At 39.2% G+C, this 25,339-nt stretch overlaps 1 protein-coding gene and 1 pseudogene across 9 annotated transcripts in view; both read left to right on the plus strand.

Annotated features, from left to right (window-relative positions):
• Positions 1 to 25,339, plus strand: part of BEND6 (BEN domain containing 6) — a 72,240-nt gene that overhangs the window by 32,520 nt on the left and 14,381 nt on the right. For 7 of the 9 annotated variants that reach the window (NM_152731.3, XM_017010406.2, XM_047418320.1 and 4 more), the window contains exon 3: positions 4,752 to 4,929. In NM_152731.3, the coding sequence (NP_689944.2) occupies positions 4,752 to 4,929 (178 nt within the window). Of the gene's footprint in view, positions 1 to 4,751; positions 4,930 to 20,554; positions 23,323 to 25,339 lie in introns of those variants that run through there. The other 2 variants (NM_001318539.2, XM_047418324.1) reach the window with 1 other exon arrangement.
• Positions 16,722 to 17,176, plus strand: FTH1P15 (ferritin heavy chain 1 pseudogene 15; annotated as a pseudogene).

A 25,339-nucleotide genomic window follows, 5' to 3' on the forward strand; every position in this document is an offset into this window, starting at 1 on the left:
TTTAAATCAGATTTCATGCTAATCAAGTTCTTATTGCCCAGGCTCCTCCTCCATGCACCAGAATGTCTTTTCTTTTACTGGGCAGTAGAGGCTTTCTTTATGTTATACCTTTGCTTCTTCTACTCTCAGGTTAATTCTTTAAAATTTTAAACAACAAACTTCTAGGTTTGTATCCTTATAAATTCCACTCTGTACTCCAATTTTCCAGATTTGGATATATATATACATATATATATGCCAGTTTGGTAGTTTCAGAAAATCCTTTTGTCTCAACACAGCTTGAATGTTACAACTTATAAGCATATGTTTTCAAATAATTGTCTTGCTATTGCCCTTTAAAACTATTTTTTAAACTAAAAGGTAAATGTGAATGCTTTTTTCCTTTTTTCTTTCTTTTTTTTTTTTTTTGAGACAGAGTCTTGCTCTGTTGCCCAGACTGGAGTGCAGTGGCATGATCTCGGCTCATTACAACCTCCGCCTCCTGGGTTCAACGGATTCTTCTGCCTCAGCCTCCCAGGTAGCTGGGACTACAGGTGCATGCCATCAGGCCCGGCTAATTTTTTGTATTTTTAGTTGAGACGGGGTTTCACCATGTTGGCCAGGATGGTCTCGATTTCCTGACCTCGTGATCCGCCAGCCACGGCCTCCCAAAGTGCTGAGATTACAGGCGTGAGCCACCACGCCCAGCCGTGAGTGCTTTTTTTCAACTGAATCTGCTCTCTACCTTCTCTGATGCAATAAGCCCCAAAATTGACCTAATAGCATAGTCTCAGTCAGAAGGTTGTGAATAGGAAATACGAAGAGAAATGAAGAAAGGAGAAGAATTACAAAGAAGGAAACCATGATGTATACTAACATGATAAAAATGATTATTGAATGTTTACTATGTGCAATGCAATATGAAAGATATTCTCTATATATTGCCTCATGTCAACTTTTATTTTTTACTTAAAAAATACAATGATCTCCAATAAAGCTGCTGCCCATCCCAAGACCTAAAACATTACTAAAACTCATAACTTCCTATAGACTCCTCACCTACCCCATTCCCTGCCTGCCTCATTCTAGAGGTAATCGTATTCAATTTTGTTTAATTTACTTGTGTTTTAATAGTTTTATAGGCTGGGCGTGGTGGCTCATGCCTGTAATCCCAGCACTTTGGGAGTCCGAGGTGGGCAGATGACTTGAGGTCAGGAGTTTGAAACCAGCCTGGGCAATATGGCAGAACCTTTTCTCTACTAAATGTACAAAAAAATTAGCTGGGCATGCTGGCGCGTGCCTGAAATCCCAGCTACTCAAGAGGCTGAGGCAGGAGGATCACTTGAACCAGGGAGGTGGAGGTTGCAGTGAGCCGAGATCGTGCCACTGCACTCCATCCTGGGAGACAGAGTGAGATTCCATCTCAAAAAGTAAATAAATAAATAAATAATAACAATAATAGTTTTATAAAAATATATACACAACTATAATGTAGTCTCATTATACATTTCTATATAAATATATTATATATTATGGATTATATATCATATGTGATATATAATCTATATTTATCTAGATAATGTATCATTAGTTTTATCTGTTCTTAAACTTTACATAAAGTATACCATATTGTTTACTTCTGGAACTTGCATTTCTTACTCAACATTTTACTGAAATTAATTCATTTTGGCTATAATTTATTCACTATCAATGCTGTATAATATCCCAACTTGTAACTAACACAACTCATTTACCCATTGTCCTATCAATGGGAATTTGGGCTGTTTTCAGGTTTTCACCATTATGAACAACAGTGTTATGGAAAGTCTTAGACTACAAATACTGAAAGTTTCTCTTATGTATAGACCTAGAAATCAATTGCAAGATCAGAGGGTAGGTAAATGGTAAACTTTACAAGATAATGTCAAATGCTTTCCAGAGTAGTTCTGCCAATTTACATTCCCACCAGAAATATGAGGAAATTCCATTGATCTACATCTACTCTATGCTTTTGTCAAGCCCATTCATATTTTTGCCCCAAATGATGTCTTTTTATCATGTTGATCTTCTTTTCCCTAGTTGTTAATGAGGTTGAGCATCCTTTCATATATTTATAAGCCCTATGGGTTTTCTGTTCTGTAAAATGTTTGTTCATGTCTTCTGCCTATTTTCTATTGAATTGCTGGCTTCTTTTTCCTTACTGATTTGTCACTTAACAGTATTGCAAATATCCACCAGTTGTGATGTGTTTTTTCACTTTCTTTAATGTGCCTTAATGAAGAAAATTTCTTAATTTTAATTTAGCTGAATTTGTTAGTCTTTCCTATTATGATCAATGATTTTATGCCTAAGAAATTCTTTCCTGCCCCAAGTTCAAAATACCTGCACTTACATTTTCTTGCAAAACTTAAACTTTTGTTTTTGATGTTTAAATTCTTAATCCATCTGAAGTTGTGTATGTGCATGTGTGTATGTGTGTATGTAATAAGAGATCCATTTCCTTTCATTTTTTTTTCCAAATGGTTAACCAGTTTTTTCAAGCTTTATTTGTTGAACAGATCCCATTTCTGCAGTAAGCTGCCATGCCTTCTCTACCATGTCAAAGTTCTTCATCTGCATGCATCTATTTTGGGCCACTCGCTTCTTTTTTTTTTTTTTTTTTTTGGACAGGGTCTCGCTCTGTCTTCCAGGCTGTGTGTGATGTGATCATGGCTCACCACAGCCTCAACCTACCAAGCTCAAGCAATCCTCCCATCTCAGCCCCCCGAGTAACCAGGACTACAGGTGTGCACCACCACGACTGGATAATTTTTGTATTTTTTGTAGAAACAAGGTTTTGCCACATTCCCCAGGCTGGTCTTGAACTTCTGCGCTGAAGAGATCTGCCTGCCTCAGCCTCCCAAAGTGCTGGGATTACAGGCATGAGCCACCATACCCGACCTCAGGCCACTCTCTTCTATTTCTTGGTCATATTGTCTAACCCTGAACCAGCACCCTACGGTTTTCTAGATTTTTAATAAGCCTTTGTATTTGTGAGGAAACACCCTGCTGCTTATACTTCTTTAGCATTGCTTTGGATATTCTTGGCCTTCTGTTCTTCCATATAAATTTTAAAACCAATTTATTAGGTTACCAAAATGTCTTCTGAGATTTTTATTGAATTTATATTAATTCCATGGCTCAATTTTGGCATAATCAATTTTTTAAAAAAATTAAGGATCCTACAGGAGTCAGACAATCTTGAGATCTCTTCCAAGCTCCAGCGTTTACTGGATGCATGACCTTTAACAAATGACAGTATCTCTGAATCTATTCTCTTCATTTATAAAGTGGGCATTTCATATGAACGTACAGGTAAAGTACCTACAACACCACTAAATACCTGGTGGACACTCAACAAATAATTTTTATCATTTTCACCAATAATATTGCAATCTAATGAAAACAATATTACTTGTAAATAATGAACCATGATTATGGTTACACAATAAATTGATAATTGAAAAAATTGCAAACATTTAAAAATAAATTAATTAAGCCTTCTTATCTCTGAACATGATGTCTCTCTACATTAATTTAGATTATCTTTGGTAGCTTTCAGTCAAGTTTGTTTTTTACTTCTTTCATAAAGCTCTTGCAAATCTTTTGTTGTGTGTCAATGACATCTGTTCTCAGGATTTAAACATAAATACAGAATATTTAGGCTCTAGGGATTGAAAACTGTCAAGAGAATCTATACAAATTTACTTTCTGGAGGTTTTTTTTTTTTAATTTTTACGTTGTTTTTGAGACAGGGTATCCCTCTGTCACCCAGGGTGGAGCGCAGTGGTACCATCTCGGCTTACTGCAGCCTCTACCTCCCTTTAATCAGGTGATCATCCAGAATAGCTGGACAACAGGCATGTGCCACCACGCCTGGCTAATTTTTATATTTTTTGTAGAGACAGGGTTTCACCACATTGCCCAGGCTGTCTTGACCCCCTGGGCTCAGGTGATCCACCCTCCTTGGTCTCCCAAAGTGCTGGGATTACAGGTGTGAGCCACCGCAGCCAGCCACTTTCTGGAGATTTTTAAGAAACATTTTAGGGAAGTGTAATATATATACAGAAGAATACACATATAAAAAATGTATAGCTTGATTATCACACAATGAACACACCCATATAAAAAATAAAACCTCACCAGCACCCCAAAGATTCCCTCACGTCCCCTGTCAGCTACTACCCCACACTCCCCTCCACAGGTACTTCTTGTCCTTCTAATAAATAGTAACCTTTTGAACACTATGTTATGAATTGTTTGTAGCTGGCACATAGAAGCACTAACTCTGGTATACCCTGCCATCTTGTTAAGCTTTTCTATTTATTAAATCATTTGTCTGTGTGTATTCACAGGCGAAAGAAATAAGGTTCATATGGTGAGGCATTCTGCTCAAATCCGGGCTGTATATCAGAGAAGACCAGATTTGAATGGTGGTCTTGTTGATTTTATTCTGTTTTGCTAATTTTCTACTTTGTATTTTTCACTGAAGTTAGGCAGAAATTCAGAATCCTGGTTTCTGTTTCTCAAGAGGCATATGTGCATGAAACTTTGTCCTGCCCTTATTTTGAGTTCCTCTGCCTGCTGGAGGACAAAGCTGGGGCTAGATCAGCAGCAGGAAGTGCCTGTGAGAACAAGAAATTTGTAGTCCCAACAACATGCAATGGTTAACCAGAGATAAACCATTAAAGATGCTATGAGGCTTCTTTTATTGTGCCTGCCTTCTATTTTAGAGAGACCCATATTCGGGAAATGCCTTTCTGCCTGGTGAAAGCTCCAGTGAGGATGAAGAGCCTTTAGCAGAATTGTCAAAGGAAGAATTGTGCGCCAAAATAAAAAGCCTGAAAGAAAAACTAACAAACACCCGGAAAGAAAACAGCCGACTTCGACAGTCTTTGGTCATGCTTCAAGGTAAACTTTGAGAAAATTGACATTTTAGATAAAAGGGAAAGTATATGATCAGTGGAAAGTATTGCAAATTAGCTGTCAAGAATGAAGAAGAAAATCCACACCTCTGGGAGCTCAAAAAATCACAGTTTTAGAAAAAATCACTGATTATATAATTTAAATACAAAAGCACTCTATTGAAGGATCTAGCTTATGGCTTGAAAATTTTTAGATTCTCCTACAAAATACTAAATATTATATTCATTTAATAGTTTTTAAGAGATTATTTATTGAGCATTTAATATACACGACTCACAGTGCTAAGCCCTAGAGACAAAAGATTATTAAGACAGAGCAAATATGATAAGTTACTCATGATGTACTTAGGTCACCCCTGTCTGCTAGGGAAATCTCTAGAAAATGGAGCTTATTGTGATTCTTCATGAAATCACTGGAATTAGAGTCCATATAGTACATTTTCATTTTTTTCTGTTGGGAAGAGTGTCTTGGGAAAATAATAAAAATAATAGCATTCCACTGGAAACATATAAAGAAGAAAGATCATCACAAAATACTCCAGTGGCTGGAAAAAAAATGAAAAAAGGAGAAAGACAGCATAAGCAAATTAAAAACTACTTGGCTTAATGCCTTTTTGTAGGATCCTATGTGATGTTCATGTGTTTATTTTTTCAAAAATTATGCTTTCCATTTGTAGTTAAGCACTATATATTTTTTATACAGCTGAATATTTTATAATAAGGATACTATGTTGGCAGCACTCAGTTGTAAAACAGTAAATACACAGAACATTTTGAAAATAAGTCCTTCCAGTTGCTGTGTACAGAATGAGTACAAGTGGTACAAGAAAGTGAGGCAGAACCACCAGAAAGGCCATACAATTGTCCAGTCTCACATGGTAGCAACCTACCCTAGAACAATGGCTTATGAAAATAGAGGGGTTCACAATGCATTTGGAGACAGAATAGTAATAAGAGACAGATAGAACACAGTGATGAATGAGGTTGAGAGTAATGATTCACATCCTTTCCTAAGAATATTTGTTAAATTAAAGGCTTCATACTTTTAAGTAGAAATAGCCACATGTAAGTAGAAAGATGTTATTCAATTGACAAGGCATTACCTCTTTATTTCTTCACTTCATTTTTTTATTTGTTTGTTTTGTAGAAACAGGGTCTTGCTCTGTTGCCCAGGATGGAGTGCAGTGGTGAGATCATAGCTTACTGCAACCTCAAACTCCTAAGCCTAAGCAACCCTCCTGCCTCAGCCTCCTGAGTAGCTAGGACTTTTGGCATGCACCACCACACCCGACTAATTTTTTAAATTTTTCATAGAGATGGGGGTCACACTGTGTTACCCAGGCTGGTTTTGAACTCCTGGCCTCAAGCCATCCTCCTGCTTTGGCCTCCCAAAGTGCTGGGATTACAGGTGTGAGCCACCGTACCTGGCCTTATTTCTTCATTTTACATATTATGTTTTTAAAACTGATGTTTTCTTTTGACTAGTTTTTTGTGATTTCCAAAGAATACATAATACCCATTTTTATATAATCTCTTCCAGAACTTAGCATAGGATGAAAAGCTAGTTTATAAAATTAGCATGAATTGCTAGTTAAAAGCATTAATCTTGGCCGGGCGCAGTGGCTCACGCCTGTAATTCCAGCACTTTGGGAGGCCGAGGTGGGTGGATCAAGAGGTCAGGAGATCAAGACCATCCTGGCTAACACTGTGAAACCCCGTCTCTACTAAAAATAGAAAAAATTAGCCAGGCGTGGTGGCGGGCACCTGTAGTCCCAGCTACTGGAAGGCTGAGGCAGGAGAATGGCATGAACCTGGGAGGCGGAGCTTGCAGTGAGCCGAGATCGTGCCCCTGCACTCCAGCCTGGGCGACAGAGCGAGACTCCATCTCAAAAAAAAAAAAAAAAAAAAAAAAAAAGGCATTAATCTTGGAGCTGTAGACCTTGGTGTGAAGCCCGACTTTGCTGTAAAACTTTGGCCATATTATTTCACTGTGCCCTTATCCCCCACTAAGGTTTCCTCATCCAAAAAGCAGAGGAAGGCAATATATGATTTCCTTGTTGCTATGAGAATTCAATGAGCTAATTAGTAGAAATGCTTTACCTAGTACCTGGCACAAAAGAAGAACTCAGTAATGGTAGTTATTATTGTTATTATACATTTTTATTGACACCTGACACATAATCCATCCCCCAAAAAACTGTAGGCTAAATTTCATTATAAATATAGAAGAGAAAATTTTAAATAAAGAGTGCCAATCAGCTTCAATAGCATATAAAAATAATCACTTACTATGACCAGTTTCTTCTCTCTCCCACGCTCCAAATTGCCATTTCATTTTCTTCTCTTTCTGCCAATTCCAAGTCTTCTTAATTCTCAGTTGATGGCTTTACTTCTTACTTCTCTGAGAGGTGGAAGGATAGGAAGCCACTGCCATCTCCCTGCACCTGTGCTTCTGTGCCCCCTTTACTTCCTATTATTTATGAATAACCTATCCTTGTGAGTCTCAATCTCCTTCAGTGCACCAGATCCCATCCCCTTTTTTGTAATCAGTATATTGCTCCAGAGATTCTGCCCTGTCTCCTGCAAGATCAAGTTTTCCTTCTCTAATGAATCATTCCCATTAGTATCAAACATACTATTATTTCTCCCATTTAAAAAAAAAAAAACAAAAACCTCACTTTCAGACCATTTGCTTCTCTACCTTCTATTTTTCTCCTTCCTCTTATGGAAAAACTCCTCAAAACTCTTGACTATACACACTCTATTCAGTTTCCTCCCTGTTATTCTTTCTGGATCCCACTCCAATTAGATCCTTTAATTTCATTGTAATTTCTCATCTCATGATCATCAGTCATCTCCATGTATTAGCTAGCTAGGGCTGCAGTGACAAAGTACCACAAACTAGGTGGCTTAAACCACAGAAATTTATTCTGTCACCTGTCTGGAGTTTGGAATTACAAAATCAAGGTGTCAGCAGGGCCATACTCCCCCTGCAGGTGCTAGGAATAATCTGTTCAGGTTTCTCTCCTAGCTTCTGATTGTTCCTTGGATAAGTCAGCATAACCCCAATCTTCACAGGATGTTCTTGTGTGCTTCTCTCTCTGTGTCTAAACCTCTCCCTTTTTATAAGAACACCAGTCGCATTATATTAGGGCCCACCCTAATGACCTCATTTCAACTCGATTACATCTGTAAAAACCCTATGTCCAAATAAGGTCACATTCTGAGGTAATAGGGGTTAGTCTTCCGACACATCTTTTTGGGGGACACAGTTCAATCATGATATTCTGCATTGCTAACCACAATAGTCATTTATCACTTGTCATCTTAAGTGCCCTGTTACCAGCATTTTGACACATTTGGACAACTCTCCATCCTTGAAAAAGGTCCTTTGCTGCTTTCCAGGATACCAAAATCACCAGCCTTCCTCCTATATTGCTGGTCTTTCCATCTTATTCCATTTAGCTGATTCATTGTCTCATCCTCTAAATATTTTATGAGTCCCCTGGCTCAGTACTAGGACTTTTTTCTTTTCTATCTGCATTCATTCTCTAGATGACCGTCTCCAATAATATGGTGTAAATATCCATCAATGAGGCTGGGCACAGTGGCTCACACCTGTAATCCAGCTCTTTGGGAGGCCAAAGCGGGTGGATCACTTGAGACCAGGAGTTTGAGACCAACCTGGGCAACGTGACAAAACTCCATCTCTACTCAAAATACAAAAATTAGCCAGGCATGGTGTTGCGTGCCTATGGTCCCAGCTACCCGGGAGGCTGAGGCACGAGAATTGCTTGAACCCAGGAGGTTGAGGTGGCAGTGAGCTGAGATTACACCACTGCACTCCAGCCTGAGTGACATAGCGAGACTCTGTCAAAAACAAACAAACAAAAACAAAAACAAAAAAAAACACACAAAAATCAATGAGCTATGATTGTCAGAGTTCTATTTCCTGCCTGGGCCTCTCTAACTCATTGTCTAACTGCATGCTTAACATGACTGATAGGCTAACATGTTTCAAACCACATTCCTCACCTCCTTCAACCTGTTTCTTTCTTCCTCATCTTAGCTAATGTTAACTTCATTGTTCAAGTTCCTTAAACCAGAAACTATGATGTTATCTTCATGTTATCTTCTATTTCTGTATTTATTTTACACCCCACACTCAGTCCATTAGCAAATCCCACTAGCTTTGCCTTCAAAATATTTCTGAAACTCAATCCCTTTTACCACTCCTACTGCTGCTACTCTGGTCCTAGCCACCATTACCTCTCATCTATATAATTAAGGTGGCATTGTAACTTGCATCCCTACTTCTGTTCTTGTTCCTATGAGGTCTATTCTCAACCCAGCAGTGAGAATGATTCTGTTAAATGTTAATCAGTTCCTGTCCTCCTGTGCTTAAAACTCTCCAGTGGATTTGTACCTCACTCAGTATAAAAACTAAAGTCTTTTTATGATCTTTGGCTCCTTACATGATCTGGCCACCTCCCCTCCACTTACTTCTCTTGCCTTCTTTTCTACTCTTCATCCTCTCCTTCTCTGTGATCCAGACACACTGGACCACTTACTTTCCCTCCGAAGACATCAGGCATGATCTTGTCTTTAGTGTCTTTGTGCTTTCCATCACCTCTGCCTAGAATGTTCTTCTTCCAGTTATCCATATGCCTTGAACCCCCATTTCTTTCAGATCTTCACTGCTAATTCATCTTTTCCGTGACCTTCCTCCCATCTAAAATTTCAACCTTTCTTCTCCCAGTTTTTATTCTCCTCCCCTGTTTTGTTTCCTTTTTGGCACTTGCAACTCTGTGTAATCTATTATGTATTTAATATTGTCCATCTCCCCATCTCCCCACCACATACACACACACTAGAATTTAACCCTAGAAACGAAGTAGTAAAGTTGGCAATTGACTAGACTTCTGGCAACAGAAGTCAGGAACTGCCTACTGCCACTGCAGTGTTCATTTCTGCATTTATTCATTTTATTTATTTATTTTTTGAGACGGAATCTCACTCTGTCGCCCAGACTGCAGTGCAGTGGCGCAATCTCGGCTCACTGCAAGCTCCGCCTCCCAGGTTCACGCCATTCTCCTGCCTCAGCCTCCTGAGTAGCTGGGACTACAGGTGCCTGCCACCACGCCTGGCTAATTTTTTGTATTTTTAGTAGAGACGAGGTTTCACGCATTAGCCAGGATGGTCTTGATCTCCTGACCTCGTGATCCACCCACCTCGGCCTCCAAAAGTGCTGGGATTACAGGCATGAGCTACCGCGCCTGGCCCATTTATTCATTTAGTAAATATTTATAAAGTCCCTACTATGTGAAAGGGACTATTCTAAATACCGAGAAAACTCAATGAACAAAACAAAGATTCCTGCTTTCACGGAGCGTGTGTGTGGGGGTGGGGGGCGGCAAGAGGCATCTGGATAGTTAAAAAACATACAAAAGATAATTCACTAAATTATATAATATGTTGAATGGTGAAAGGTGCTATGGAAAAAATAGAGGCTGCAAAAAAAGATTACGTTTTGAGGGAGAGGGAGTGGTTTACAATGTTAACGGCATGTTTATAGCAGGCCTTCTTGTAAAGCTGCAGTTGGGAACTAGGAAGATAACAGAAAGTTGAAATCTCTTGTATAATACTATTAAGAAAGGGGTCTAAGGGAAGACTATATGCTGATTATTTACTTTGTTTGCAATAATGTTCCTAACTCTTTAAGAATCAGGGCTGTTTCTGTGTTTGTAAAGCCTGCTAACTAAGAAAAATGGCAGAATGAATATGCTATTCTAGAAATTCAGGATGGCAAACGTGTGTGTGCTATGTGTGTGTGTGTTAAGTATTTAATACATATCTTGTGCACTACAACTGACCAGCACAATAGGATGTGAAAGAAAATAAGTGATATATCTGTTGTATAGAAAGGTATTAAATTGTCAGTATTTATCATGTGTACACCTAGGAAAAACAAAGCATCAGCCAAAAACTTGACTCTTGTAAGTAATGAGATTTTAGTAAAGAATGAAAAATCAATGTTTTTAGACTCCAAAAAAATCAACTGAAAATGGATTAAGACCAGAAACTATGGAACTTCTAGAAGAAAACATTGGGAAATGCTTCATGACATTGGTCTGGGAAAGGATTTTTTTTTAATAAGACCCCAAGAGCATAGGCAACAAAAGCAAAAAAAAAAAAGAAGGAAAGAAAGAAAAAGGCAAATAGAATCACATCAAACCAAAAAGCTTCTACACAACAAAGGAAACAATCAACAGAGTGAAGAGACAACCTCTGAAATGGAGAAAATGTTTGCAAACTCTGCATCTGACATGGGGTTAATATCCAGAAAATATAGGGAACTCAAACAACCCAATAGCAAAAAATCAAATAATTCTGTTTAAAAATGGGCGAGAAAATTGCTGGGTTCATCAGCCCACTCTGCTGAAGCCATGGTGCAGCAGTTTCCTCTCTGCTTCACTCACAGGACCCAGGCAGGTGTCCAGGCATTAGGAGCACCCACTCACCTGGTTCAGCAGCCTGAGTTGCTCCCCACCCTTCTTGGGCATAAATCTTGGTGCAGTGGGACTCTCTCCACTCCATGCCCAGGCAGATCTCCAGGTATTCAGAGCACTTGCTCATGTGGATCAGGAGCTTGATTCACCCCACCCTTTCTGTACAGAGATTCATGGAGATTCTGTACAGTGATGGCATGGAGGCCATCTCTGCTTCATGCCCAGGCAGATCTCCAGGCATTTGGAGCACTTGCTCAGCTGGTTCAGCAGCCTGAGCTGCCCCACCCTTCTTGTGCAGAGAACCAGGTGCAGGGGGATCCTCACTGCTCCACATTCAAGCAGATCTCCAAGCATCTATTGCACTCACTTTCCTGGATTAGTTTAGGCCACGTTCCTCATGCCTGTGCAAAGAGCTTGGGGCCAAGGAGATTTCCCAGCTCCACAACTAGGCACACCTCTGGGCGCTTGGTGGCCACCCACTGGATTCCCCATCAGTGCTGATGCTTGTGCCTGCTATCAGGAGACCTGAAGGTGGACCTGTCCATCCAGCCCTGCCCATTTTGGTCCCTCCTTCCCCTGCAGCTAAGCAGAGAGCACAGACCACTGTGTACTCCACCAATCAGCCCATTGACTGAGACCACAGAGAACTTCTCTCAGTAAAACAAGGATCAAGTCTATACCCAGCCACTTTGGTTGCAGCCAGCTCTTACCTATAAGTGCCATGTACTAGTCTGTAGGTCAAACTGCATGGCCCGATATAAAACCTGCCAACAGAAGTGCATAGACCTGGCCGCCCATTGTCTGGGATGTGAGGAGCGCCTCTGCCCAGCCGCCCCGTCTAGGAAGCGAGCCCCTCTGCCTGGCTGCCCCGTCTGGGAGGTGAGGAGCGCCTCTGCCTGGCCACCCATCGTCTGGGATGTGAGGAGCGCCTCTGCCCTGCTGCCCCATCTGGGAAGTGAGGAGTGCCTCTGCCCGGCCGCCCCGTCTGGGAGGTGTACCCAACAGCTCCAAAGAGACAGCGACCATCGAGAACGGGCCATGATGATGATGGCGGTTTTGTCGAAAAGAAAAGGGGGAAATGTGGGGAAAACAAAGAGAGATCAGATTGTTACTGTGTCTGTGTAGAAAGAAGTAGACATAAGAGACTCCATTTTGTTCTGTACTAAGAAAAATTCTGCCTTGGGATGCTGTTAATCTATAACCTTACCCCCAACCCCGTGCTCTCTGAAACATGTGCTGTGTTAACTCAGGGTTAAATGGGTTAAGGGTGGTGCAAGATGTGCTTTGTTAAACAGATGCTTGAAGGCAGCATGCTCATTAAGAGTCATCACCACTCCCTAATCTCAAGTACCCAGGGACACAAACACTGCGGAAGGCCTAGGAAAACCAGAGACCTTTGTTCTCGTGTTTATCTGCTGACCTTCTCTCCACTATTATCCTATGACCCTGCCACATCCCCCTCTCCGAGAAACACCCAAGAATGATCAATAAATACTAAAAAAACAAACAAAAAAAAAAAACCATAAATAACAAGAATCCAAAATATGAGATAATGAAAAAAAAAAAAAAAGTAGGAGTTGACCCTTTCCAAAATCTGGAGTTGGGATGGGCATTAGTGGTTTGGAGAGGAAAGAGCAGGTGTGTTGTGGCTGGGAGGCGATTCCTTTCAGCACCTTGGGTGATGTCTGAGGCCATACCCACTTTCTGTGCTAGTTTTGGGATTATGATGATTAACCCACACTCCCTTTGTTCCTCCCATGTAAGCTGGATTCTTGGGCATTCAACCAATATTAAACACTTCCTCTGAAAAAAAAAAAAAAAAAAGAAGTGCATAGACCTATAGAAATGAAGCCAAAAGACCCTACCCAGTATTCACTATAGCCACACTCCCTAGGGAGGGAGAAAAAGGAAAGAAAAAGAAAAAACATTTTAGGGAAAGGAAAAAAAAAGAAAAAAATCATACCCACATGAAAAAGAAAAAGAAATCCAGAGAACACCTGCTACATCCTATACAAAATGAACATCACCAAGACATAGAGTCACCAGACCCTCCAGGGTCAATGCTAAAGAAAAAGTCTTTTTTTTTTTTTTTTTGGAGACAGGGTCTCAGGGTCTTGCTCTGTTGCCCAGGTTGGAGTGTAGTGATGCCATCACTGCTCACTGCAACCCCTACCTCCCAAGCTTAGGTGATCCTTCCACCTCACTCTCCCAAGTAACCGAGACTACAAGCATGCACCACAATGCCTGGCCAATTTTTCTATTTTTTGAAAAGATGGGGTTTTGCCATGTTGTCCAGGCTGATCTTGAACTCCTGGGCTCAAGTGATCCACTACCTTGGGTTCTCAAAGTGCTGGGATTACAGGCATGAGCCACTGAACCTGGCAAGAAAAAAAATCTTAAAAGCCACTAGAGAAAAATGTCAGATCACATTCACAGGGAACCCCATCAGGTGAATGGTGGACTTCTCAACAGAAAACTTGCAAGGCAGGAGAGGTTAGGGGCCTATTTTCAGCATTCTTAAAACAAGAAGTTCCAACCAAGAGGTACATATCCTGAGAAACTAAGCTTCATCGGTGAAGGAGAAACAAAATATTTTCCAGATAAGCAAGTGCTAAGAGAATGAGTTAATACTAGACCAGCCTTACAAGAGATTCTTAAGGGAGTTCTAAACATGTAAACAAAATAATGAAACCTACTACCACAAAAACACACTTAAGTACGTTGCCCACAGATACTGTAAAATAACCACATGATAGAAACTACAAAGCAGGCAGTTAACAACTTTACAATAGGATCAAAACTTCATATATCAGTATTAACTTTGAATGTTAATGGTCTAAATGCCCCACTTAAAAGGCACAGAGTGGCATGTTGGATTTAAAAAAGCAAGTAGACCTCATATGTAATGACACCCATAGGCTCAAAGTAAAGGGCTAGAGAAGTATCACAAATCAAAAATAAAGAAGAGCAGGGGTCGTGATTCTTATATCAGATAAAACAGACTTTAAGCCAACAATAGAAAAAGAAAGGGCAAAGTGGAGCATTACATAATGATAAAAGGTTCAATTAAATAAGAAGACTTAACTATCCTAAATATATATGCACCCAGCATTGGAGCACACAGATAAATAAAACAAGTACTTCTAGACCTATAAGAAGACTTAGACAGCCATACAATAATAGTGGGGGACTTGAGAACACCCCACTGACAACATTAGGCAGATCATCCATGCAGAAAACTAACACAGGAATTCTGGAATTAAATTGGACATTTGACAAAATGGACCTAAGAGACATCTACAGAATATTCCACCCATCAACCACAGAATATACATTCTTCTCATCTGCTCATGGAAAATATTGCAAGATTGAACACATGCCTGGCCACAGAGCAAATCTCAATAAATTCAAAAAAATTGAAATTATATGAACCATACTCTCAGACCACAGTGAAATAAAACTAGTAATCAATATCAAGAAGATCTCTCAAAACCACACAATTACATGAAAATTAAACAACTTGCTCCTGAATGACTGAGTAAACAATGAGATTAAGGCAGAAGTTTTAAAACTTCTTTGAAATTAATGAATATAGAAATATAACATACCAAAATTTCTGGGATACAGCAAAACTAGTGTTAAGAGAAAAGTTTATAGTACTAAACATTTACCTCAAAAAGTTAGAAATACCTCAATGATCTAACATTACACCTAGAGAAACTAGAAAATCAAGAAAAACAAACCCCAAAGCTAGCAGAAGAAAAGAAATCACTAAAATCAAAGAACTAAACAAAATTGAGACCCAAGAATCCATACAAAGAATCAATGAAACTAAAAGTTTGTTCTTTGAAAGGATAAACAAGATTGACAGACTGCTAGCAAAATTAACAAAGAAAAAAACAGAGAAAATCCAAACAAGCACAATCAGAAACAACAAATGTTACATTACAACTGACGCCACAGAAATACAAAAGATCCTCAGAGACTATTATGAACACCTCTACACATACAAACTAGAAAATCTAGAGGAAATGCATGCATTCTTAGAAACACACACTCTCCTAAGGTTGAACCAGAAAGAAATTGAAACCCTAAACAGACTAATATCGAGTTCTAAAATTGGACCAATAATAAAAAATCTGCTGGGCACAGTGGCTCATGCCTGTAATCTCACCACTTTGAAAGGCCAAGGCAGGAGGATTGCTTGATCTCAGAGTTCGAGATCAGCTGGGGCAACAACACAAGACCTTATCTCTATTAAAAATAAAAAGAATTAGCCAAGTGTTGTGACACATGCCAGTGGTCCCAGCTACTCAGGAGTCTGAAGCAGGAGGATTGCTTGAGCCCGAGAGATGGAGGCTGCAATGTGCTGTGATTGCACCACTGCACTATAGCCTGGGTGACAGAGTGAGACCCTGTCTCAAAAACAAACAGCAACAACAACAACAACAACAACAACAACAAAAACTACCAATCAAAAAAAACCCAGACCAGATGGATTCATAGACAAATTCTACCAGACATGCAAAGAGCTGCTACCAATTCTACTGAAACTATTCCAAAAAATTGAGGAGGGAAGGACTCCTCTCCAGCTCATTCCACAAAGCCAGCATCACTCTGATACCAAAACTTTGCAAAGACACAATGAAAAAAGAAAACTACAGGCCAATATCCCTGATGAACATAGATGCAAAAATCCTCAACAAAATACTAGCAATTCAAATCAAACAGCACATCAAAAAGTTAATTCACCACTATCAAGTAGGCATCATTCCTGAATATAAGGTTGGTTCAACATACACAAATCAATAAATGTGATTTACCACATAAACAAAATTAAAGACAAAAACTTCATGATCATCTCAATAGATGTGGAAAAAGCTTTAAATAAAATCCAACATCCTTTCTTGATAAAAACCCTCAAGAAAATAGGCATCAAAGGAACACACCTAAAAATAATGAGCCACCTATGACAAACCCACAGCCAACATAATACTGAGCAGGTAAAACCAGAAGCATTGCTCTCGAGAACTGGGACAAGACAAGGATGACCACTGTCATCACTCCTATTCAACCTAGTACTAGAATTGGTAGCCAGAACAATGAAGCAAGAGAAAGAAATAAAAGGCATCCAAATAGGAAAAGAAGTCAAGCTATCTCTCTTTGCTGACAATATGAGTCTATACTAGAAAACCTTGAAGATTCTGCCAAACATCTCCTCGAAACGATAACGACTCTAGTGAAGTTTCAGGATACAAAATAAATGTAGGCCAGACTTTCTTCACCGTGGGTCCCCAAGGTTTCCTGCTTCAACAGTGCTTGGACAGAACCCAGCCCTCATCCCCCCACCCCAGCTGGCTGCCCATAGCCAGCCCTCCGCTGCCTCCTCACCGCGCCCTGGGACCGTCCCAAGGCCTCTGCCGCTCCAGCTCCGTGTAGCCACCGCCACCGCCATGACTACCACATGCCCCTCACAGGTGCGCCAGAACTACCACCAGGACTCAGAGGCCAACATCAACCTCCAGATCAACCTGGAGCTCTACCCCTCCTACGTGGGCTGAATGCAATGGAGTGGGCATTACATTTGGAAAAAAAAAATGTGAATCAGTCACTACTGGAACTGCACAAACTGGCCACTGACAAAAATGACCCCCATTTGTGTGACTTCACTGAGACACATCACCTGAATGAGCAGGTGAAATCCATCAAAGAATTGGGTGACCAATTAGGATTGCCTGAGCTCAGGACTTGAGACCAGCCTGGGCAACAAGGAAATACAAAGAAATTAGCCAGACATGGTGGCATGTGCCAGTAGTCCCAGCTACTCAGGAGGATGAGGCAAGAGAGCTACATTGTCAGATTATATAGTTGAAAGTCAATAATTATCTGAATATGAAAAGAATTAAGAAGTAATTGTATATTGCACATTATTGCTTAAAACAGTAAGATAAATACCAGAAGAAACAGGTAAGTGAATTGGAAGTGGAGGCCTGTAGGATAGGTAATCAGGGGTGGCAAGAACTAGGACAGAGGACTGCTGTTTTTCATTATAAGCCTTATTTTTTTTCATAAAATAATAAATCACTGGCTCATAATAGGTGTCCAATATCTAGTAGCTACCAGTTTTAAAAAGTCAGTAATTTCTTTATGCATCAGAAATCACTGCTATATTCCTGAAAGAAAAAAATTCATTCACATTAATTACAATTATAAAATATCTACTAATTCCCCTAACAAAAAATGTGTACTCTCTGTGAAGAAAATATAAAACTCAACTGAGAAATTTACAAACCTAAATGAATAGAAAGACTTGTGGGCCACGCGCAGTGGTCCATGGCTGTAATCCCAGCACTTTGGGAGGCCAAGGCGGGTGGACCACCTGAGGTCAAGAGTTGGAGACCAGGCTGGCCAACATGGTGAAACTCCATCTCTACTAAAAATACAAAAAAAAATTAGCCAGACATGGTGGCAGGTGTCTGTAATCCCAGCTGCTTGGGAGGCTGAGGCGGGAGAATCGCTTGAACCCGGGAGACGGAGGTTGCAGTGAGCCGAGATCGCCCCACTGCACTCCACCCTGGGCGACAGAGCGAGACTCCATTAAAAAAAAAAAAAAACAAAGACTTGTTACAAATGGGAAGAGAAGAGGCCAATTCATCCCCAAAATAATCAATAATTTGAATGTAATCCCAATTAAAATACCAATGGTCCTTTTGTTTTTGCTTTTTTAATAAGTTGACGAAAAATATTCTAAAATTAACCTGAAAGAATAAACCGGCAAGATAATTAAGAACATTCTGAAAAAGAAGAATATGAGTGCCAAACCTGTCAATATTTAGTCATATCAAGTTCCAATAATTTAAAGTGCCTGGCTAATGCAAGAATCAACAGATCAGTGGAACAGAATGCATATCCTCCAAACAGAACCTAATGTATGATTAAGAAACTATCCTAAAAGCAGTGTGGCGTAGGAGCGAAGAGGTAAAAATATGAAGAAGCAAACCACCTGAGTTCAAGCCCTGCTCTGCCACCTAGTATCTGTGTAACCTTGTGCAAGTTGTTTAACCACTCTGTGAGTCCATTTTTTCATCTCTAAAATGGAAATAATAAATGTACTCACCTGAGTGACAGGTAAAGCATTCAGAACAGAGCCTGGCACATAGCAAGTATTTGCTGTTACAAATGTTTGCTATCACAAGTCAACATGGCCAGCTTCGTAGATGTGTGACGTGCAGTTACACAAGACCCTGCTCTTAGAAGGGCCCACATACTGATTAAAGGCTCTGCTGTCACCATCTTAAAATTCTTTAGATGTTTTGAACAATGAGCCCTGAATTTTTAGTTTGTATTGGACCCTGCAAACTATGTAGTCATGTAGTGAGTCCTGCAAGTCAATCAGGAAAAGGATGAATTACTCAACAACGTGTTGGGAAAATTGATATTCCAAGCTACCTTCTCACTTCACACTAGGTGGCTCACTAAGAACATAACTATACAGTCTAAATTAAAACTCCATGTTCTGATTTTGAATGGGAAGTACTGGTTTGAACACATAATAAATTTTGTCTTTAAAAAGTTATAGTTTACCCAAAGCAATGTACAGATTGAATGCAATTCCTATCAAAATACCAATGACATTTTTCACAGAAATAGAAAAAACATTTTTTATAATTTGTATGGATTCATGAAAGACCCTGAATAGCCAAAGCAATTCTGAGCAAAAAGAACAATGCTGGATGTATCACTCAAATATACTACCAAGCTGTAATAGCCAAAGCTGCATGGTATTGGCTTAAAAACAGACACATTAGACCAATAGGACAGAATAGAGAACTCAGAAACTAATCCACATACCGATAATCAATTGATTTTTGACAAAACACCAAGAACATTCACTGGGGAAATAATAGTCTCTTTAATAAATGGTGCTGGAGCCAGGCACGGTGACTTACACCTGTAATCCTAACACTTTGGGGGGCCGAGGTGGGAAAATCACTTGAGCCTAGGAGTTCGAGACCACCCTGGGCAACACAGGGAGACCCATCTCTACAAAAACTGTTAAAATGAGCCTGGTGTGGTGGCACGCACCTGTGGTCTCAACTACTCAGGAGGCTGGGTGGGAGGATTCCTTGAGTCCAGGAAGTTGAGGCTCCAGTGAACTGTGATCACACCACTGCACTCCAGCCTAGAAGATGGAGTGAGACCATGTCTCAAATTAAAAAAAAAAAAAATCATGCTGGGAAAATTGGATAATTATTTGCAGAATGAAACTAGACCCCCACCTCTCGTCCTATGCAAAAATCAATTTGAAATGAATCAAAGACCTAAATTTAAGACCCCAAACAATGAAACTACTAGAAGAAAACATAGGGGAAACACTCCAGGACATTGGTCTGGAAAAGATTTTGTGAATAGGACCTTAAAAGCACAGGCAACAAAAGCAAAAATAAACAAACAATCTGATTTAAAAATGGCCAAGACTAGAGGATCACTTGAGGCAAGGAGTATGAGACCAGCATGGGCAACATAGCAAGACCCTATCTCTACAAAAAACAAATTTTTTTTTTTAATGAGCTGGGTATGGTGTCTTATGCCTGTAATCCCAGCTACTCGGGAGGCTGAGGCGGGAAGATAGCTTGGGTCCAGGAGTTTGGGAAGTTTACAGTGCGCTGTGATCATGCCACTTTGTTCCCGGAACCAAGCTGGGTCCAGGAGTTTGGGAAGTTTACAGTGTGCTGTGATCATGCCACTTTGTTCCCGGAACCAAGCTGGGTCCAGCTGTGTTTTCTGGAGGCCCAATAACAGGAAGCAGACAAACTAGGAAAGAAGGGAATTTATTGCTATAACCAGATACAAGGAGAAGGCCAGAGATAATTCCACCAGACCAACTCAAAGTGTTGCAATTTTCTTAGTGCTTATATAGGTTGGGGTTATGTGCCTTCATGCAGTATAGCATTGGCCTAAGTCTACTGGTAACTAATTTTGTTTCAACTAGAAGGTCAGAGACAAAAATGCTTGCTAAGTCTGATTAAAAGGGCCCCAGTACCTTCAAGGCCTGTCTACTGTGGTACCGGAGTGATTATTTCTATCTTATCTCCTTTACAGCTTGGTCCAGAGAGCTGCCTTAGACTCTCCAATGAATGTGTTCAAACAGCTGCCTCTGTTACCTTGACTCATCTCAGATACGGGTCCTGGTGCTAGGAATCAAAGACTGTCTCTATTATTTTGGCTTGCTCCAGGTTGGGCAGAAGCCCATGCAAGGCTACTACTGATCATGTTTCATTTCTAGCTTTGATGTCTGGGCACTGATTTCCCTAGGTTTAACTATTTGCTCAATGTCAAGGCAGTGCTGTGGAAATCTGTCTGTGTAACTGGAGTGCTATGCAGACCTGTCTGTGTGACTGTCATGCAGGCCTGTCTGTGTGATTGTCAGGGAGAATTGGCCTGCCACAACTTCACTGCAGCCTGGGTGACAGACACAGACACCATCTCTTAAAAAAAGAAAAAAGAAAAAAAAATAGGCAAATGATCTGAACAGATATTTCTCAGTAAGACATACAAATGGCCAACAGGTATATGAAAAAAATGCTCAACATCACTGATCACCAGGGAAATGCGTATCAAAACCACAGTGAGGTAACATCTCACCCCAGGAAGTATGGCTATTATCAAAAAGACAAAAACAAAACAAATTCTAGTGAAGATGTGGAGAAAAGCGAACTCTAATACACTGTGGGTATGAATGTAAACCAGTGCAGCCACTATGGAGACAGCATCGTTCACAATAGATAACATAGGGAATCAACTTAAGTGTCCAACAACAGATGAATAGATAAAGAAAATGTGGCATATATACACAATGGAATATTATTCATCCATAAAACAGAATGAAATCCTGTCATTTTTGGCAACAGGGATGATCATTATGTTAAGTGAAATAAGCGAGGAATAGAAAGTTAAACACTGCATGTTCTCATTTGTATACGGAAGCTAAAAAGAAAAAGGTTAATCTCATAGAAGTAAAAAGTAGAACAGAGGATACAAGAGGCTGGAAAGGGCAGGGGGAAGGGAAAGGTAGGGAGAGATTTATTAAAGGATACAAAATTACAGCTAGATGGGAAGAATAAGTTCTAATGTTCAATACCCCTGTGGGATTACTATAGTTAACAATAGTATATATTTTCAAGTAGCTAGAAGGAGGATTTTGAATGTTCCCAACATAAAAAAATGATAAATGTTTGCAGTAATAGATATGCTAATTACCCTGATCTGACCTTTATACATTATATGTATCAAAACATCATTATTTGCCCTATGAAAATGTATAATTAAAATATTAAATAAAATCAAATTTTAAAAAAGGATTTTCTAATATGGTTCCCTGAGTAGTCCTAGAAACAGGAACTCAATAGCCAAGAGCACTCCTAGCAATTAGATGTGCCCTTGTAATATCATTAACCATTAAAGGGAACGATGACTCCTTGGATAAATGGCTGATTCCATGTCTTGCATACAAAATATACAAAATGAGACTTGTGAAGAAGCTTGAGCAGGAAATATACAGGAACATCTTGTCATATCAGAAAGCAAGGAAGTTAGACCATGCAGATGTGTCAACTAGAAGAGCTTCCCACAAGCCAAAGATGGGACAGTTTGAGCATGAATAAGAATGACAACCACAATAGATAGACACATATTGTATTGATATATGTTTAATGCATGAGTTCACAGTGGTATTCAAAAAAGAAGAAAACGTTATGGTCATCTGAAAACAACCAACTCATAATTTTGAAAATTGGCAGATACAAACCAAAATCAAGCGTGTATCCTGCCATTACTATATGAAATGAACTTCTGGGTAACCAAACAGTTGATAAGAGGAACTTTCCCTTTGTAGAACTCCAGCTAATAAATGAAGAAAATAATTAGAATATCACTATTTTGCAAGCCATTGTGACATAATGAATCTATGCAGTGACCATCTGTAGCTGGTAAGATCACAAAAAAGCTAACCAGGCATTAAATACCACCTGATGGAAGTTAAAACAGTACCTGAATCCGATCAACCCTTCAGATCTAACTACCAATCTACATCAAATACAGGGAACAGGAGAATATGTCAAATACCACCTAAAGGTGCAATCACAGCAAAATCCGACTGTAGGAAATTCTCCAGGACAAATGACCCAGTTTCTACAATTAATAAATTGCAAGGGAAAAAACTAGGAAGGGAGAGGAAACCTATAGTTTATATGGAAGAGACAGCAACCAGTTGTAATGTATAGTCCTTACTGGATCTTGATTCGAACAAACTTAAAAAATAAGACCATCAGAGAAATTTGAACATTGACTAAGGTTTTTTTAAACGATATTAAAAAACTATTGTTAACTATTTCTGGCTGCAGTAGTGGTGTTAACAGTTATAATTTTAAATACACCTTTTAGAGATGCCTACAGAAATATTTACAGATAAAAATGAGATGATGCCTGTGCTTTGCATCAAATAATTTGGGGGATAAAGGGGATCAGGGTATAAGTGGATTGAGACTTGCCATGAATTGAAATGGGAGAATTTGCTATTTTTGTTTCTGTTTAAAATTTTCCATTAAAAGTTTAAAAAATATATCCAGGAAAACAGCCTACTTATGAAAAGATATTTAAATTCTACAAAATTGTTGGTGAATATTTAACTGATCTGAGTGATGAATGAGTAAGTATAAAATAAATGGATAATATACTAAGAAAAGACTGCTACTTTCAACTAAAATGAAAATTTAAATTATGTGTGTTTAAAATGTTATAAAATTAAAAGATAAACACTTTGAGAAAAATATTTGCAACTCAAGAAAAATAAAAGATTAAAATGCTTAATATATAAGGGAGTTAATAATAAAGCTAATACATTCTGCTTATAATGTGCTAGGCACTCTTGTAACCACTTTACAAAAACCATTTAAGTTCTTATAAAATAGAAAAAGTACCAATATCCCATGCTCCAATAGATAATTGATAGAAGAAATTCTAATAATCAATAAACAAATTATATTTAACTTCACAGTACTTAAATAATTGTAATTTAAAATGTACTAAGATTATAACCTATCAAAAAAAATGGAGATTGTTGTTACTGATTAACACCAGTTGTTGGTGGCACAGTGAAATGGCCAGTTTCTTGTATTGCTAGTGGGAGTGTAAATTGGAAAAATCTTTCTAGAGAGCAATTCAGCAATATGAATTGAATCTCAAAAGCATTTATACCTCTTAATGCTATTATGCTCTCAGGAATTTATAGCATTGACATGATCAGAGGTGCATATGAAAATGTAGATGCAAGAAGGTTTATCAAAGCTTTGTTTGTAATAAAGAAAAATTGGGCCTAGCAAAGTGGCTCCCCACTGTAATCCCAGCGCTTTGGGAGGATCACTTGAGCCCAGGAGTTCAAGACCAGCCTGGGCAACATAGGGAGACTCCATTTCTACAAAAAATAAAAATATTAGCCGGGCACAGTGGTGCACACCCGTAGACCCAGCTACTTGGGAGACTGCGGTGGGAGGATTGTTTGAGCCCGGGAAGTCAAGGCTGTAGTAAGCTGTGATCATGCCACTCTACTCCAGCCTGGGTAACAGCAGGGCCCTGTCTCAAAAAAAAAAAAAAAAAAAAGAAAAAAAAAGAAAAGAAAAGAAAAAGAAAGAAAGAAAGAAAAGAAAAAGAAACATTGGAAGCAACCTAATTTCCAAGTGAGAAAAGGAGCATTTAAAGAAGTTACAGGACCGGGCATGGTGGCTCACGCCTGTAATCCCAGCAATTTGGGAGGCCGAGGTGGGCAGATCACGTGAGGTGAGGAGTTCAAGACCAGCCTGGCCAACATGGTGAAAGCCCATTTCTACTAAAAATACAAAAATTAGCTGGCATGGTAGTGCACACCTGTAGTCCCAGCTACTTGGGAGGCTGAGGCCAAAGGATCGCTTGAACCTGGGAGGCGGAGGTTGCAGTGAACCGAGATCATGCCACTGCACTCCAGCCTGGGTGGCAGAATGAGACTCTGTCTCAAAATAAGTAAATAAATAAATAAGTTACAGAGCATGAATATATTGGATATTAGGGAAAATAGCCCATCGACAGGTGAATGGATACATTAATTATAAAGTAATGAAATGTTAGCAATAAAAAGGAATGAATTATGGTACACACAACATGAATGTCTTAAAATATTATGCAGAGAAAAAGAGACAAAAAAAGGAGAATATACTGTTTGAGTTAATTTATATGGAATTCTAGAACAAGTAAAATTTATCTACAGCTAAAGAAGTCAGATTAGTGGTTGCCTCTGTGGTAAGTCCAAGGATTGATTTAGACAGGATGTAAAGGAACATTCTGGGAGGATGGAAATGTTCTATATCTTGATTAGGTGTGTTTTAAATGGGCGCACCCATTTGTCAAACGCATCCCCTTTACCTATGTAATTTCTGCTCAGACTTCATGTAAGGTTTTGCCTTTAATTGTATGTAAATTAGGCCTTACAAACTCATATTTTCCAAGAAGATTTAATAAAACAGGCAAAATATTCACCTTACCATTTTAATTGGGAAAAAAAGAGCCTTGATACAATGCAATGTATACAGCATGGTTCTAATTATGTAAAAGAAAATACATTAATAAAAATAGAGATACACAGGCAGAAATGACAAGAATGATGTATGCCAATGAACATGTACAAACATAATTTGAAAAAAATAGTAAATATTCTTGTAGTCCCACTTCATACCAAATTCCCTTTTTCTTCTTACATTCTAGATTTGGCCTTCATTCAGTTCCTCATATGAAGAAGGTGCTATTCCTGTGCCTCTAACGACCCCCTCATTCTCTACGGCAATTTAATCCCTGCTCAGC

Source organism: Homo sapiens, chromosome 6, assembly GCF_000001405.40.
Source record: "Homo sapiens chromosome 6, GRCh38.p14 Primary Assembly".
In the NCBI taxonomy this organism is placed as follows: Eukaryota; Metazoa; Chordata; class Mammalia; order Primates; family Hominidae; genus Homo; species Homo sapiens.